Here is a 16,781-nt window from a genome sequence, read left to right on the forward strand (position 1 = left end):
CCAACGTGAAATGCTAGGGCACTGAATTTCACTGTACACATTTTGGACACAGTTACATTTCCATTACACGTTTGTGGTGGAAAACCCCAAACTAAGCCCACGTGTCTTCAACAGGCCACAAGGTGAGGCAGTGATTGGCTGTTTCTGCATTTTCTGTTAATATTTGTTTGCTGTGTGTTCATCTGTTTTTGGTGTCCATGAACGTGCTTGAGCCTACAAGCAGTAGCAGGCACCAAAGATTTTTAAAAATGTCTGAGAAAGAAAAGCAAATTTGAGAAAATTCCATGTATTAGCTGATTTTATTTTTTGTGCAAAGTGGAACGATCACCATTACTCAGTGTTTGTGGAGCTGCCTCCTCAAGCCACGCATGGAATGCTGGCGAGGGAGGGCAATGCAGCTCTGGGCAATGGCTTGGGAAAAGTCTTGGCAATGTAAACAACTGCAGAGGCCCAGACTCAGTCCCAGCTCAAACCTTCTGGGTTAGTAGAAGAGAGCTGCCAGCAGCTTGTGATGCTCCCGAGCCTGGGGAGGGCCTGCTAGGTCACACAGTGTCCGGCTCCAGCCCCTTCTGCCTTCTATTGACTTGTGCAACCCAGACCCAGATCTCAGAGCCCCTACTTTGTTTTTTCACAAGAATGGGTACCGATGACCAAGATGTGCTATAAGAAAAGCCCATGAGGCAGAGGCATGGTATGGTTCTCATTTAATTTTACCCATCGAGAAGTAATCTTTGATAAAGCAAATAGGACCAAAGAAGAAGGGTGATGCTAGGGGACACAGGACAGCACCATGACCCCCTCCTCTGGATCTAGCATGTGTGCTTCCTATTTAGTAGAAACTACATGTTCTTTAGTTGCTTGAATAAATTTTGTGAACTCGGGGCAATGAAAGGAATATATGGGTCAGGAGGGAGGTCTGGCCATGAGGATGGAGATGAAATCAACATGGGTGGTGACAGATAGCAGGATCATGAAGCCAGAGTACTCCACCTGCCTTTTCATCTCCCAGCTCTGTTGCTTGGAAAAATTACCCAGTCCACCTGGCCAGTGTCTTTCTTTGTTGAGTGGGTCATGTTGCCCACTTATTCCAACTATAGGAGTAGGGACAAGTAATACCCAATATAAGGACACACTCTGTACTAGATTAAAAAGAAAGTAAGATGCTATTAAAATCAAAGATATGTTTATATTACTAAATTTAAAATAATATATAGCTAATCCTTAAATGTTCTTAGTATCACTAAGGCTTAGATGTGTAGTGTTTTTCTAGCATGGGCAAAAGGTAGGGGCAATTTTGGAAGCCCAAAGAGGGGAATACCAGCTCAGGTAGTGTTTCCCAGACTTCAGGTAGTATATTACCTGGGCAGTTTGCTACAGACTCCTGGGTCCTAACCCTAAAAGCTCAGCAGGTTTGGATGGATCCTAAAAATCAGCATTTTAAGTGGGCTTTCCTGGAGATCCTGATGTATGTGCTTCCTGGAAACACTGCCAAGGGGAATGTTTCTAAACCAGGTTACAGTCAGAAGTCCTAATAGGTCTTGCCCAACTCTGCATTTGCTGAATCAGAATGGCCTGGGGATCTGCATTTTACTAAAGGGCCCCAGTGATTCACATGCAGACAGCCTGGCACCAGTATATTTGGAAACTGCTGATGAGATCTAATTCACTTAATCCTTACAAAACCTATCAGGTAGGTATTATTATAATCAACTCCTCTCCCACTTTTTAGATGAGAAGACTGAGATATATAATAGTTAAGTAATTTGATAAGGTCACACAGCTAGTAAGTGGCCAAGCCTGGATTTGAACCCAGGCAGTCAGGCTCTGTAGTCTATATTTTTAGCCACTTTGCTCCACCACTTTTGAAGGCTTTGCATGAAGGAAGACTCATATCAGCTGGAATCTAGGGGAGGGAAGGGTTCTAGTGCTGACTCTGCCATTGGGCATTGGAGACTTCATTGACTCACTGGGAGCTTAGGTTTACATGGTCATGCAAGAAGAGATGAGCAAAATGTTCAGACAACCTCAACACTTCAGATCAAGCTCCAGTTTCCATGTAGCTCTCTCTCTGCACCTTCCTCCTAACTCCACTATTCCCACCCCTATTGCAGCCCTATACACTCATAGACACAGGGCTGGAGACCTGTCCTGCAGCCTTTCTAGTAAGGACTGGTATATTCGTTCCTCTCTCTGCCCTGACCAGCCCTTCCAAAGAAGAAATGATCAGCAGAGAAGTGTCCCCAAAGGAGATGAACCTGGGACCCCTATGTGTTCTGGGGGCAGCGGAGGGGGCACACCGAACCCTTACCTGTCCTCCATTGACTGTCGAGAGCGTGTTCCTGCACCTGGATTCCAGGAGTCTGCATTCCTTGGAAGAGCTCTTTTTATGTTTCCCTCTTATGCACTAGCCACTTAAGCAACTTGAATATTTCTGTCAGATTTCCATGTCTCCAAAGATGGTGGAGAAACAGAGCATTCGATGTCTGCCCTTCTGAGGAAATTACTGTAATAATAAAGTAACACCTTGGGAAAGATTTCATATTTAAAAGCAAAATTTTGCATGAGAAATTCTTCAGCTTCTTCTGCAGATTCCATTTCAAGTGGCAGCTGTAGGTGGGGCCCTTGGGTCAGAGTGCTTAACTATGCTTGGGTGGGGGGCATTGAGTGGTGAGGTCAGGACCATCTGCTCCATCAAAGGTCCCTGATATCTGATGTATTAGAGCCACTTTGCTGGCTTTTGTTGATCATTCCCCTGGGGGTTAGAAAGTTGGGAACACACTTTCCAGGGAGGCCTGGAGGGCAGTGGGTTGGTTCTTCTTTGTTGATGGAAAACCACTTTCTATCTGACTTAAAGTACAGGAAGCAAACAAGTGCACAGTTAGCTCTGTCCTTCCTTGTGCCTCAGTTTTCTCATTGTTAAATAGACTGGAGGAAGGATCATTATGGTAGAGAGAGTAGCAGGGACTTGGAGTGGGTGCACACCCCAGGGTAGAAGCAGTGGTAGAAGCAGGGGCTGACAGGCCGGGCGCGGTGGCTCATGCCTGTAATCCCAGCACTTTGGGAGGCTGAGGCGGGCGGATCACGAGGTCAGGAGATTGAGAACATCCTGGCTAACACAGTGAAACCCCATCTCTGCTAAAAAAAACAAAAAAACAAAAAAATACTGTGCCACTGCACTCCAGCCTGAGTGACAGAGCGAGACTCTGTCTCACGAAAAAAAAAAAAAAAGAAGCAGGGGCTGACAATTGTAGATAAAGTCCAATCTGAGGCATGGTGACCCTTTGGCAAATCATGGGTGGGGCATGGATCCTCATAGCCTGTCAGGGGTTCTGTAGGAAGCAGCTCAGGATCTGATTTTCAGACATCAGGGATCGGAAAGAATGAGCTTAGCCAATATCAAGAAGGCTAAGTGCCCTCCATGAGAAAGCCTAGTGCCCTCCATGAGGAAGACTGTATTCTAGGGACCTCCCACTGGCCAGCAGCAGGCCCAGGCTTGTGCAGGTGGTACAGACAGGATTGAGGTCATGGTCCCCACTGGTACCATGTAGCATTATCTGCCAGATGCCTCTCACTGTAACTGGCTTGTATGTTTACTTCTAACTTTGTGAATGAGAAGATTTCATTTTGACAGCCTAGCAAATGAGTTCATTATGCTCCCAGCCTTCTAGGGCAGGAAAAGCATCTTATTCATCTGCTCACTCACTCTCCAGCAAGCATGGAGTGTTAGCTCTGTGGGAGGATGCCCAAAGCTGAAGATCTGGGGGCCCTTCACTACACTATAATGACCCTGCTGGTGATTGAGGTTTCAAGATGATCTGCTTGCGAAAAGAGGGAAAAGGTGATAAAGAAGGTCCTGTTTCCCCCTCCATCACCAGTACAGTTGTTTCTCCAGGTCAGGTGAAATCCCAGCACCTGCAGACAGCACCACTAGCAGCTGCTTAAGGAGGGTGCTCATGGGAGGTTCCCCCAGAGTTCTCTGTAACAGAACTGGGCCAATGTGGAAACACATAGGAGATTTTCTGAGAATTACCAGGACTCATTTCTGCCCACAGATTGCACCTGAGGCCCTGCGTCTCTCATCTCTCCCCTCCCACTTCCTGGCAGCAAGTGACAAAATGACTGTTTGAATTTAACCTCCTTGCTCTGCTTCTCCATTTCCCTGTGAAGGTGATAATGAACAGAGAAATGGGCAGAGGCAGGTGGCCAGAAAGGGAGGGGACAAGCGAGGGGAGCAGGGGTCCAAGGCTGTAGCTTGGCAATAACTTCTGAGGTCCCTGGGACTGATTACGGGGGCCATGTAAGCCTGAGGGAGCCAGCAAGGGATCAGGCTTGTCTGCACAGTCTTGACATGACATGTCAGAAGCAGGACTGGAGGTCGGTTTTTAGGGAAGGGAAAAAACTTTCCAGGAGTCCTACAGGCTGGCAATGCTGGATCCAGGATTAGATTATGCTCCCAACCACTCATTGAGCATTTGTCATGTGCTGGTCCCTTTATACATATTGGTCCCCATATCCTTTGTATCTAAGCATTTTTTTCTCCCATTTTACAGATGAGGTAGCTGAGGCTTTGAGAAGTTAACTGGCTCAAGAGCGAAGTTTCAAACCAAAGTTTGCCAAACTCCCTGGGCCTCTGTCTCCCAGTTCAGTCACCTTTTCCATTTAACTTTGCTTAGTTGTGAATTAAATCAGTGAGCATGTGTTACCCAGGAGCTGTCTATCCTTGTCCTGCCAGGTGCCATCAAAGGCACAGACAGTCCTGCTCTGGTGTCAATGCTCGGACCCTGTGGACAGGCTCTCTTCTCACTCTTTGGAGTTGTCCCACCTGTTCCACAGCTGGAGGAAAACTTTTTCCTTCTCGGTTTGCATTTCCCTGTTACACATTGCCTTTCCCATGTGCCCCTGCGAGTCAGACCCCCACTGTGGTCATTATTGGCTATTTTTTTTTTTTTTTTTTTTTTTTTTTTTTTTTTTGCTGCATGTCTGTATTAGTCCATTTTCATGCTGTTGCTAAAGACATACCTGAGACTGGGAAGAAAAAGAGGTTTAATTGGACTTACAGTTCCACATGGCTGGGGAGGCCTCAGAATCATGGTGGGAGGTGAAAAGCATTTCTTATATGGCAGTGGTAAGAGAAAAATAAGGAAGAAGCAAAGTGGAAACCCCTGATAAACCTATCAGATCTCATGAGACTTATTCATTATCACCAGAATAGCACGGGGAAAGACCGGCCACCATGATTCAATTCCCTTGGCGTTGGTCCCTCCCACAACACATGGGAAATCTGGGAGCTACAACTCAAGTTAAGATTTGGGTGGGGACACAGCTAATCCATATCAATGTCCATCTAGATATTGTCTTTGATAAGCTGTGTTGCTTAGATGGTTGCAGTTGGCATCTGTGCCTGGATCTTGGTGGGTGTGTGTGGGGGGGAGGAATCAGGGCACAGCGCAGGTCTTCTGGTACTCCCTTCATAGGCTCACCTTCCAGAGGAAGGGCCAGCTGCTGCTTTTTGTCTTTGGGCACTTCTACAACTTCTTCTCTGTGGACTGTGTCCTGCTTACCCTTGGCCTGGGGCCATGTTGTTTCTTGAGCTCTGGCTGCTTTTATCCATCTGGCCAGGTGCAGACTTACGACATCAGAGGAGGACACTAGGATTTGGCATCAACTTTGAGCGTGGAAGAACATGTGGGGGGATGTTGAGGAGAGAAATCCCTCAGCATCCTAGTCCCATTGGACAGTGGCCAGTCACCCTTGGAGCCGTGGCAGTGGAAAGGGCTGAGCAGGAGGATGAGGAATAATTGCAGGTGGCTTCATTGACGGTGGCAGCAGAGAGAATACCTTATCTGTGAAAGGCAGCTGGGCCTTGCAGTTAATTGTTCTGTTGTTTTCCTCTTGGTATTTTTCCAGCACATCAACATAGGACCTTTGCCCTTGGCTTTCTCATTGACGCTGAGGCTGAAGCCGGGAGGTGAGCTGGGGATGGGGGATTGGGAAGGGGCCTCATTCCAGGTGGTTTCACGTGAATTCTTGGTGCTGAACTATCTGTGCAGGTTCCTCCAGGGCTGTCTGCTCCTGGGGGCCGTTGTCACAGGACCAGAAAGCCCATCCGGGGATGCTCTCAGCTCCTTTGACAATGCCTCCAAATGGTTTGGGATGGTGGAATGCAGGCTGTAAACTAGATGGCAAGGAACAAGGTGTCAGTATCAGAAAATCCACCGCATTTTGGACAGGTGCTCAGAGGCCGGGGGCAGGCACTGGTCAGAACACACTTTGGGTGTCGAACCATAATGTAGTATTTGGTTTAATCCTGGTCACACCACAGGTGTGAATCCGTTGCTGGCTCCCTAGCACCTTCAGGGCCAATCATTGCAAGACCCTACATCACCTGGGTCCACCTTGCCTCCTGCCCTCCTGCCCAGCAGCACTTCCTTTCCCAGCTCCACACAGGTACATGTGTACACACACATGTCCACAGGTGCATGTGCTGCACAGCTGCACATGCCCTGGGCATCTCCTTAACTTCATCCACACAGAGGCCCTTCTGACTCATCTGTCCCGTGTGCCTCTGGGTCTGCACCTGCTTGCTCTGTTTGTGTTGCATGTCTTACTGTTCTTTTCTGGCTAACCCTAAATTATTCTTCAGAATTCACCACAGTGATCGCTTCCTCCTGGAAGGCTTTCTCCTGTCCCACACTCGATTGGGTTGCCCTCTGGGTGCCCTCACAGCCGCCTCTGCTTCCCTCTATGGGATCACATTCCACACTGGTATCCAGTTGTGTGTTTATTTTGCTGGGTACCCCACAGCTCCGTGAGCCTCTGAAGCATGGGTTCTATCCTGATTGTCATGGCATCCCCAGCACATAGCACCCCCAGCACATGGCACATAGGAGGTGTCAATAAGTATGACATAATGAATAAATAACAAGAAGGAAAAGATCAACAAACACTTAAAAACCTGAGATCATGTCCTATGTAGTCATTTAAAATATATCTACAAATATTTTATACTCTTCCTATCAAAATGTGGAGGCTCATTCCTCTCCCTTTGAATATGGATTGGCCTTAGGACTCACTGTAATGAATGGAATATGGCAGAAGTGTTTCTGCATAACTTTGGAGTGAAGTCATAGAAGGCAACACAGTTTCCACCTAGCTCTCTCTGTTTCTCCTGAAATACTTGCCGTTGTCACCCAGATACCACATTGTCAGGAGACCCAGGTAACATGAAGGGGTCACGTAGAATTTCTAGCCCCAGCTCCAGCTCAAGTCCCAGCCCACAGCCAGCATGAGAGGCCAAGTGTGAATGAAAAAGTCTTCAGTTTGTTGCAACCCCATCCTTCCAGGCACCCCTGCTGACTCTGAGTAGGGAGAGCCAAGCTTTCCTCACAGAACACTGTCCAAACTGCAGATTCCTGAGCAAAATCAATGTAGTAATTGTGGAAAACCACTGAGTTTGGGGTTGGAACAATTAATAACTGAAAATATTTTAGGAGGGGTAGGAGAACAATGGTTTAGATAAACCTAGAAAGGGACTTAGGGGAAGGGTGGGAAAGGGGTGGAGATATGATACCTCATTCATTCAACACTTAATAACAAATATTGTTAATCTCCTACTATGTACCAGGCAGTAGGCACAAAACCAGAAATATTACAGCCCTTGGGAGCATACATCCTATTGGGGGAACAGACAGGCATGAAAAAGACAAATAATGTACATATAATTTCAGGAAAGGGCTATAAAGGGAGTAAACAAGTGATGTGACTGAGAGTGATGGGCGCAGGCTTGGACAACTTAAAACGGGGAAGGGAGGCCCTCTCTGTCTGTGAATACTCGAAGGGCATTCTTAGCAAGTGGGCTTAGGTTTGCTCTGCACGGGAGATAGATTTTGGCTTGATTACAAAATTCTTTTCAGTCAAACTGAACCGAGATGGAATAGGCTGCCTTGAGAGATGATGCAGCCCCATCTCTGGGGTGTCCAGGTAAGGCCAGAGCCACTTCCAGACTTGAGAGCTCACATTCTACAGAGGCAAATGGGGAGTGAGAGCAGAGAGACCGAACTGCCAGCACTGCCTAGGAGCCACCAGTGTCACAAGTACTCACACAGAACACATTTATTGAGCATCTACATGAGAAGCACTGTACTCGGAACTGAAAACACCAAGATAAAGAAGACACAGACTTTCCTTCAGGGAGCTCACTGATTAATAGACTGGTGGGGGAGACAGAGCCACGCAGACTACAGGCTGTAATAGGGCACGTGATAGACTCTGATGGATGCGGTATAGCAGTTTCACATCAGCTGCTAGGAGAAACCAAATGAGAGGGTCAGACTTAGAGTGGGAAGGATTTGGGGAAGGAGTGTGTGTGTGTGTGTGTGTGTGTGTGTGTGCACGTGTGTGTGTGTGAGAGAGAGAGGGGAGAGAGAGAGAGAAAAAAAAAAGTTTGGGACTTTGGTTATGATTATATCCAGGGCAACAGTGCTGTCTCAGGACTGTCTCCCTGTTTTCATTCCTTAGTTCTGTGTCTGTATCTGTCAAGGTCCCAGCAGAAAACAGCACTCTCACAGGCTTTACTGAGGAGGGTTTAATGAAAAGACTCTCTACAGAGGTGTGAACAACATTAAGGGAACCAATAAGGATGGGGATGTACCCAGGGACTGACAATAGTGGGAAGCCGATACTCCCCAAAGCTCTCAGAACCTAGCAAGAGCCACAGTGTGACAGAGGAGCTCCCTGACGGAAATGAGACACAGAGAAATGCAGCTGCTGCCCAGATCAAGCATGGAGGGTGAAGGAGGAGGGTTTGTATTCCTTGAGCCCTTTCTCCTCCTCTTAAACATCATCTGCCAGCACCTCCCATGATGAATTCAACAAGAAGGCAGAGGGCATGAAAGTCTGGTTGATGAAGTTCATAGAGGTCAGAGGCATAGAAAATGGCAAAAAAAGTAGAGAATGGATCTGCAGGGATGAATGGAGACTAATCAGCACAGTCACTTATGTTGACTTCATCCTCAGATAGGCTTTCTCATGAGATGTTCATGTGGCTGCTGGCAGCCTCAAACTCATATCCTCTTGAAACTTCAGCAGAAACATAAATTCTCGCTCCCCGTAGCTCTAGCAAATGCTGAAGAAGTTTTGTCTCCTGGGCTTCCCTTGGGTCCTGAGCCTCTCCATGAGCCAAACTCCATTACCAGGGTGATTGAAATACACTCATTGGCCAGGCTTGGGTCATGTGTCTATGAAACTCTATAGCTGAGGGGGAAGGGCTAGCTCAGACCCATCAAGCTGCCTGGCCTGAGATAGGGGAGAGCTGGTCACAAAACTGTCAGGGTGCTTGTCCAGGAGAAGCAAGAATGAGTGCTGGGAAGGCATTCTTGCCATTGATAGGCCACACCTATCAATCTTCCTGGGACAGCTAAATTATGCAACCGAGTAAGAGAGATGGTATGTCCAATAAAGGAAAGTATATGGATTCTGGACAGAAGAAGGAGGTATCTGTGGCTGTGATGGTCCTGAAGATGAAAAGATGGGGAAACAGAAAGTGATGGGCAAGTTAAAAACCCAGGAAGGGAGGTCTGGAGACAGCTGGACAAATAGGTTCTTTCTTGATGGGATGTTCTGTATCTTCCTGAGCATCATGATCAAATTTAAAGTGCTGAATAGGCAGATAGCAGTGGTGTTTGGTTAAAGGCAAAGTGATTTTTGGATTAGGGCATCTCAACTAGACTGAAAGAGGAGGGTTCCTATTTAGGGGCAAGATGAGAAGAACAATGGGCGAAGAGCCATAATTTCTCACTGTAATCCCCTGGTTCCAATGTAGATACCAGAGCATCTGAATTTAACCACTGCATTTAAATTTGATATCCATTGGAGAGCAAGAATGAAAGAAATGCATACTCATAGGTACAATGAGCTGGCTCATTTCCCTTCTTTTTCACTATTTCAATCATGGCCTAGTCTCACCTGGAATTTCCATTTTGCATCAGTAGAATATTTATTCACAGTTTTTGATGTACTTTTTCCCCTAGGTTTTGAGTCTTGTATAAGATGGCAGATCTTCAAAGTCATTTGCAGACTACTTTTTTCATACCTTGGATATCTCTTTCTCATTTGAGAGAGAGAGTGATCTAAAATGTACTTAGAGTTTATCAGAAGAAGGCTCCATTTGCCCTTCCAACTTCCCTGCTCTTGGCTCCAACTTTCTTCTATTCCCAGCTAAGCAGAAAAAGAACAGATTTTTTTTTTTTAAAAAAACACAGTAGCACAATGCTGCTGATCTGCATGAAAACCCGTGGCTTTCTTTTCCCAATCAGGAGAAAGTAATTTTCCTTTCACTCACCTGACTAACTTGTTCAGAGCATCTCCTCCTCACCCTTTTCTGATATCTTGCTGCTAAGTATTTGGCAATTCATTTGCATTTCAATGGTTCCTTAGCAACTATCATGCCCTCAGGATTAGGTACAAAGCTACTCTCTGACACAGACTGCCAGGGCTACATCGCCCTCTTTTATGGTGCCTGAGTTACCAAACCACGCCCTGCCTAGACATGAAGCACATTTACTAACAGCATCACGTGGATTCTGAATTATAATGCCATTACTCCCTGCCTTATCTGAGCATGCAGACTTCTGAGCAACCCTCGCACTGAAATGCCCCAGATAATCCAGTGGTTCCTGAAAGCTGCCCTCTGATATGTTTTCAGAAAGAGAGTCACAGATCTCAGCATTGGAAGAGAGTCCTGTCTTTGGACAGGCAGCGAATTAGGTCCATTTAATGGATGTGGCAGCTGAGGTTCACTAAGGAGGAATGACTACCACAAGATCAGGCAGGCAATTGGAACATGCCAAGGAGAGATGAGAGCTCAGGGCACTGCTGCTTCCTAGTCCTTGCTCACATACTGCATCCTGCTAAGAGAGACCCATTTGTCAACTATTGTGAGCTTTCAACATAATGGAAGTTTTAACATAGGTATGTGACTCTGTTGATCTGAGGTCCTAGGAGATAAATCTTCTCACCTAACCAGAGCACAAGAGTAACTGCCCAAGTGAGTATGCAAATATGTATATCACCTGGTTTCTCTGGTTTTTGGCAATTAACATTCTTTCCATTCACGGGCTTGAAGCGTGGGTAGCACAGGAGGAGTGTGTGTGTGTGTGTGTGTGTGTGTGTGTGTGTATTTATGCAGATGATGTAGACAGACAGTGACACTGGACCATTTAGCAAATTAGAATATTCTGCCCTGAGTAGGTGGTGCTGCTTCTTTAACAGCACCAGGCCTCCACCACCAGGGCTCACTGGCATAGAACAGCCTGGCAAATGGAAGACGCTATTCAGGAAAGGACAATGAGAACAACGCTCATTCTACAGGAGGACTGACCTTTGCAACTCCCACTTCACGTTGTTATTAAATATCTGGGAAAAGACTGAGAGAACAATTATAGTATTGTCATAATGTATCAGCGTACAAAGCAAGTGTTTCCAAGGAGGCTCTGGTTCAGCTGAGCTTGACAAAGCCGGGGACTCAGCTATAGCACTTACTAATTTAGAAGTTGTCTTCATTACTTACACCAGCTGAAAACTCCGAATGTTTTGGGTGCAGTTCTGCCATCGTGGACTCCAGATAGGAATGGAAAGATAAGATGTTGGGAGCAAAGGGTGGGAGTCTTTGGGTTTCTATGTGTCTCTCTGCTAGGCTTGAGTGTGCAGTCCTAGTTGCAGCCATCTCTCTCTATATATTTAGCCTAAGCCTAGCAGGGTACTGGTTCTCAGGGGTCCTCCTGAGTATTTGCTGAGTTGAGTTGGGTTAAAGACTTTCATAGGAGGGAGAGTGAGCGACTGCTTTTCCCCAGAAGGGGAGTCCCATAAAGGACTGTGAGGGCTCGTGTGGCCCCTCCCCCTTTCCCACATTCCCAGCTGATCTCTCACTTCCCACCTAGACATGCCCACAACACCCTCTGCACAGGTTAGCCTCCCAGGTGAGAATTCCACTCTCAGGTCTGGGGGCTGGGGCTGTGGTGTCCAGGTTCTCACTATCACAGAGTTCTTGCAGCTAAACCAGCATTTCTCAACCTTATTCCTTATTCTCATAGTTGCCCCTACTAAGAAGGTTTTTTTTTTTTTTTTTTTTTCTGTCTTGCTCTGTCCCCAGGCTGGAGTGCAATGGTGCGATCTCAGCTCACCGCAAACTCTGCCTCCCAAGTTCAAGCAATCCTCCGGCTTCAGCCTCCCGAGTAGCTGGAATTATAGGCGAGCACCACCATGGCTGGCTAATTTTTGTATTTTTAGTAGAGACGGGGTTTCACCATGTTGGCCAGGCTGGTCTTGAACTCCTGACCTCAGGTGATCCACCTGCCTCTGCCTTCCAAAGTGCTGGGATTACAGGCATAAGCCAATGCGCCCGGCCTAAGAAGCCTTTTTAAGACTTTTTTTTTTTCCTGACCACCCCACACCCTGTGAATGTTAATAGCACAGATATTGTGGACATCTGTTCATGTACTGAGGCCCTTTGGTGGGCCACAAACCGTTATAAGATCTAAGACTTTTTAGTCTTCCTCCTTGCCAGGAATCAGTTTTCACCTTTGCTGAGAATGCATGATCTAAACACAATAAACCTGGCAGCGACTTAGTGGGCCCTCAGCCGAGTTAGAGCTCAGCTTTGCACCATCTATCTTTTCCAAATCAGTTTTACCCAGTATGGCCCTAAACAGTCGGAAAGGATGTCCACCTTAGCTGGTCCAGGAGGCCCCCTATTGAGCAGGTATTAGCCCTGCTGTTGGATATCCTAGGGAGATCCAGAAGGACCCAGATAAGGACGAGAGCACAGGAGTAACTCAGAAGCCTTGGGCAGGAGTGACTTGCCAGTAGGTGTGGAAGCATTTCAGGATTTTAACAAGTACGGACGGCTATGCCAGTGCCTACTCGCTGAATGTCTGCCCTGACTTCAAGGGATGTGAAAATAGTTACTTGAGTTGGGGTCCATTTTTGGAAAAAAAATAGGCTTTCTTGAAGCATAATTTACATATAATAGGTTTTAGATGTACAATTCCGTGAGGTTTCACAAATGAGTGTGGTCATGTAGCCACCCTACACACCTGATGTAGATCGTTCTCATCACCCTCATGTCCCTTCATGGTCATGTGCCTCCCTTCACTGCTGACCCTTGGCAACCACTGATAAAATTTCTGGTTCTATTGTTTTGCTTTTCTAAAAGCTCATAGAAATGGAATCATAGAGTATGTGCTCTTTATTTGTTTGACTTCTTTCACTTAGCATGAGTATTTGAGATTCATCCATTTTGTGGCATGTGTTATACTTTCTTTTTATTGCTGAGTAGCATTCCATTGCATAGATATCTCACAATTGGTTTATCCATTTCACAGTTGGTGGACATTTGCTTATAGTTTTTGGCTTTTATAATTAAAGCTACTGTGAATATTTGAGTACATGTCTTTATGTGAACACAAAATGAAAAATAGGTGTTCATTTTGTTTGGGGAAATACCTGGATAATATGGTAAGTGTAAGGTTAACTTGGTAAGATACTGCCAGTCTGTTTTCCAAAGTGGCTGAAGTGTCTTGCATTTCCTCCAGCAGTGTATGAGACCCCCAGTTGTTCCACATCCTCACCAGCAGTTGGTATTTTCAGTCTTTAAATTTTAACCACCCTGGTGGGTGTCTCATGGCATCTCATTGTTTGTTTTCGTTTGCATTTCCCTGATGTGTCTTTCATGTGTTTATTAGCCACTCATATATATTCTCCGATGAAATGGATGTTTAGATATTTGTCCATTTTTTTTGTTGGGTTTTCTGTTTTGGGTCTGCTTTCAACATGGACGGTTGTCTGGAGGTGACAGAGTGACCCCACTCACACTATTTCCAGACAATTTGGGTTGCCCTGTTGTGCCGAGAAGACATAATTTGTACCTGTGCTGGGTGGGTCTCATTCCTGGAAGTGGGGAAGAGTGGGCCATGATCTTCTCAACATGGATGGTGGTTTATGATCAGGGAAGAAATATGCCCCCAAACAGGGGCCAGGACCTCAGAAAGTGGGCTTTTGTTAGGGGAGTGTGTGCGCCTCAGCAGGAAGCCATAATTCACATGACCTGGGATTGTGCTACTCTGTGTTTATTTCCCATACATTCCCTCCAGTTCCAATCTCATCTCCATCACACTGCTCAGTAGAAAGGAAGGGCATTCTCCTGCCTCTACTTGGCATTGCAGGAGCAGCTGTACCTCCATGGTGGTGGCAGCAGAAATCAGCTAGAAATTCCCAAGGGTCCTGCTTCTCCAGGGACAGGTATCTTTTGGTTTGGGGCTTTCTTTTAGAGAAGAAAAGTATAATTTTTCTGCACAGATTGTCCTGTGAATGGTGGTCTGAAACCATGCAGAGGAAGCACCCCCTAGCCCAGCCCTGGACTCTCAGGACTGGGCCCATTTGATAGGACACTGTGAGTGTCCGAGGCTGTTCATCACCTTTTTCTCAGCTGCTCTGACTCCCAAGAGGTTTCCAGCTTTTCTGGTTCTTGTTGCATTCAAGCCATAGAGAATGCCTTTGGCTCATTTCTTAGCTTTCAATGACAGTCTCAGGATTCTACAGGCTTTCCAACACTGGGGATGATGTAGGCACTTCAGCCATGTTTGCTGTTATTTGCATGATGACAATCAGTGATCACAGTAATCATGGGGGAGGTGACACATGACAAGGATGCAAAGGCTGCAGTGGTACCATCAGGGCCCATCAGCTGGGCCCTGTGTCACTTCCCACAAGCACCTTTTATGCTCAAAAGCAAAGATGCAGCTGATGCTGACGCTGCATCACTTCTGGCTCTGAGAAAAGCAGGCACCCCCACTGTCTGAGACTCCCTGAGGGCCCCCAGAGTCTACCCCGGGGCCTGGCACAGAGTAGGCACTTAGTAAATGATGGATGGATGGACTGAACTCCTGTCACACTGCCCAGGATCACTCAGGGAGAGGCTGATGCGCATGCCACCGTGGCAAGAAAACCAGGGACTTGTGGCAAACAGAAGCAATGGAAGCATAGGAAACCTGAATGTCTGGTTGTGGAGATCAGACTGATATACCTGTTGCTGGATGGAGATACCTGAAGATGGTTCAGGCAAGGAATCTGTCATTGAAGAGACTTTTTGCTAGGGTATACTTATGGATAAGCTGGGCCTTGAACATGTAGAGGGGAGAGTGATGAGGATGCATATCATGAGTGAGAAGTAGCAGAAGCAGAAGCAAGGAGAAGGGAAAGAAAAGGTACCTGAAATAGCAATTACATTCAAGTAAGTGCTCCGTGATATAGCCAGGGGCTCGGTGATGTAGGAGGTCAGGGGACAGTTAGTTTAGAGTGGGCTATGGTAACCAGGATGGCTTCCTGGAGGAGGAGGTACCTATTGAAGGTATAGTGGATTGATGCTGATAGAAAAGGCAGGGCATAGGAATTCTCTTCTCAACAGGCTTCCCTGTCCTGGGCCAGAATCATCCGAAATGGGGAACCTGCAGAAAAGCCTTCTTCAGTGACTTGTGCCTCTCTGTCTTGGACTTCCTGGCTCTAGAAAGCCCAGGAGGAGTTCCTGTGAGGGAAGGCTCTGCATCTTGTTGCGTCCCAAGTCCCAGGGTCCAGTTGCCATTGCAGACGAAGCTTCATTCAGAGGAAAGCAAGTGCATCTTGTGGTGGTCTGGACCAGCTCTTCACAGACGGTCTTCTTTGGTGTCACCACTCGGTGTGTGGCCTTTGGGCCAGGGCTTGGGTTCCCATGGGAGTTTGTTAGAAATGCAGACCCTCAGACCTCACCTCAAAACAACTAAATTCAGTTGTGCCTGGATCGAGAGTCCCAGTCTCTAAACTTCTGCATCAGGGAAGCAGCCTCTTTAAATAAATTAACAAGCTTATTTTGAGCAATTTTTAAAAAGAGCTATCCTAGATTAAAGAATACTTAAGATTCATGACAAGTTAATGTAACAAACCCTATACTAAGAAATTGCTTTAAAGGATATGATTTGGACAACAAACAAAATTGGAATATAGCCTTCCAAAATTCAGGGAGTGGGTCTCCTTAGATGAAAGTATTATAACAAAATGTTAATATTTCCAAATTTGTAACTGCATTGTGGTCAAATAAGAGAATATTCTTGTTCTTAGGAAACAAATATTGAGGAATTAAGGAGTAAATGGCCATGATGTATGCTACCTGCTCTCAGGTGGCTCAAGGAGGAAAATAAACAGATGAATGTGTGTATATAATATAATAAATGTGTATATAATAAAATATATATGTAATATCATATTATGATATATCCTATTGTACCATAAAATATATGTGGTGAGGAAAGAGAAGATGAAAAAGCAAATGTGGCAAAATGTTAAAAATTGGTGAATCAGGGTAAAAGGAATATGGGGGTTTCTGGTTCCATTCATGCAACTTTCTTGTGTGATTGCTATTTCTTTAAAATAAAAAGTTTAAGAAAACAGTGCGCCTTGTTTCAAAGTTTGATGGATGTTGCAAGTTGCCCTCTAAAAAGGCTGAACCAATTTATATTCCCACAATGCTGTGGAGGGTTGGTGCAGCTGTTTAATGTAGCTATTTTTATTCAGCTATTTTGATGCCAGGGACTTTCTTTGATGGGGTCATATATCAGTTTTGACCTGGGGACATTTTGTTGTTTTCCAAATTTATTATGAATATTTCCAAAAGTATAGAAAAGTCAAAAGTATGCTGAAGTGAACACCCATGCCACAGCCCCTGCCCCTAGTTTCAACAGTTGTTGTTATTGTGC

The 16,781-nt window shown here is 45.9% G+C and overlaps 1 protein-coding gene across 1 annotated transcript in view, besides 2 other annotated features; it reads left to right on the top strand.

The window, feature by feature from the left end:
* Positions 1–16,781, top strand: part of EPHB1 (EPH receptor B1) — a 465,208-nt gene that overhangs the window by 3,876 nt on the left and 444,551 nt on the right. The gene's annotated exons all lie outside the window — the stretch shown is intronic.
* Positions 3,671–3,770: an enhancer, noted in NCBI's record as "active region_20570". NCBI's record gives its function as "activates an Ori minimal core promoter by ATAC-STARR-seq in GM12878 lymphoblastoid cells {active_cell/tissue: GM12878}" and the evidence as "EXISTENCE:reporter gene assay evidence [ECO:0000049][PMID:35858748]".
* Positions 3,791–3,850: an enhancer, noted in NCBI's record as "active region_20571". NCBI's record gives its function as "activates an Ori minimal core promoter by ATAC-STARR-seq in GM12878 lymphoblastoid cells {active_cell/tissue: GM12878}" and the evidence as "EXISTENCE:reporter gene assay evidence [ECO:0000049][PMID:35858748]".

This window comes from Homo sapiens, chromosome 3 (assembly GCF_000001405.40).
Source record: "Homo sapiens chromosome 3, GRCh38.p14 Primary Assembly".
In the NCBI taxonomy this organism is placed as follows: domain Eukaryota; kingdom Metazoa; phylum Chordata; class Mammalia; order Primates; family Hominidae; genus Homo; species Homo sapiens.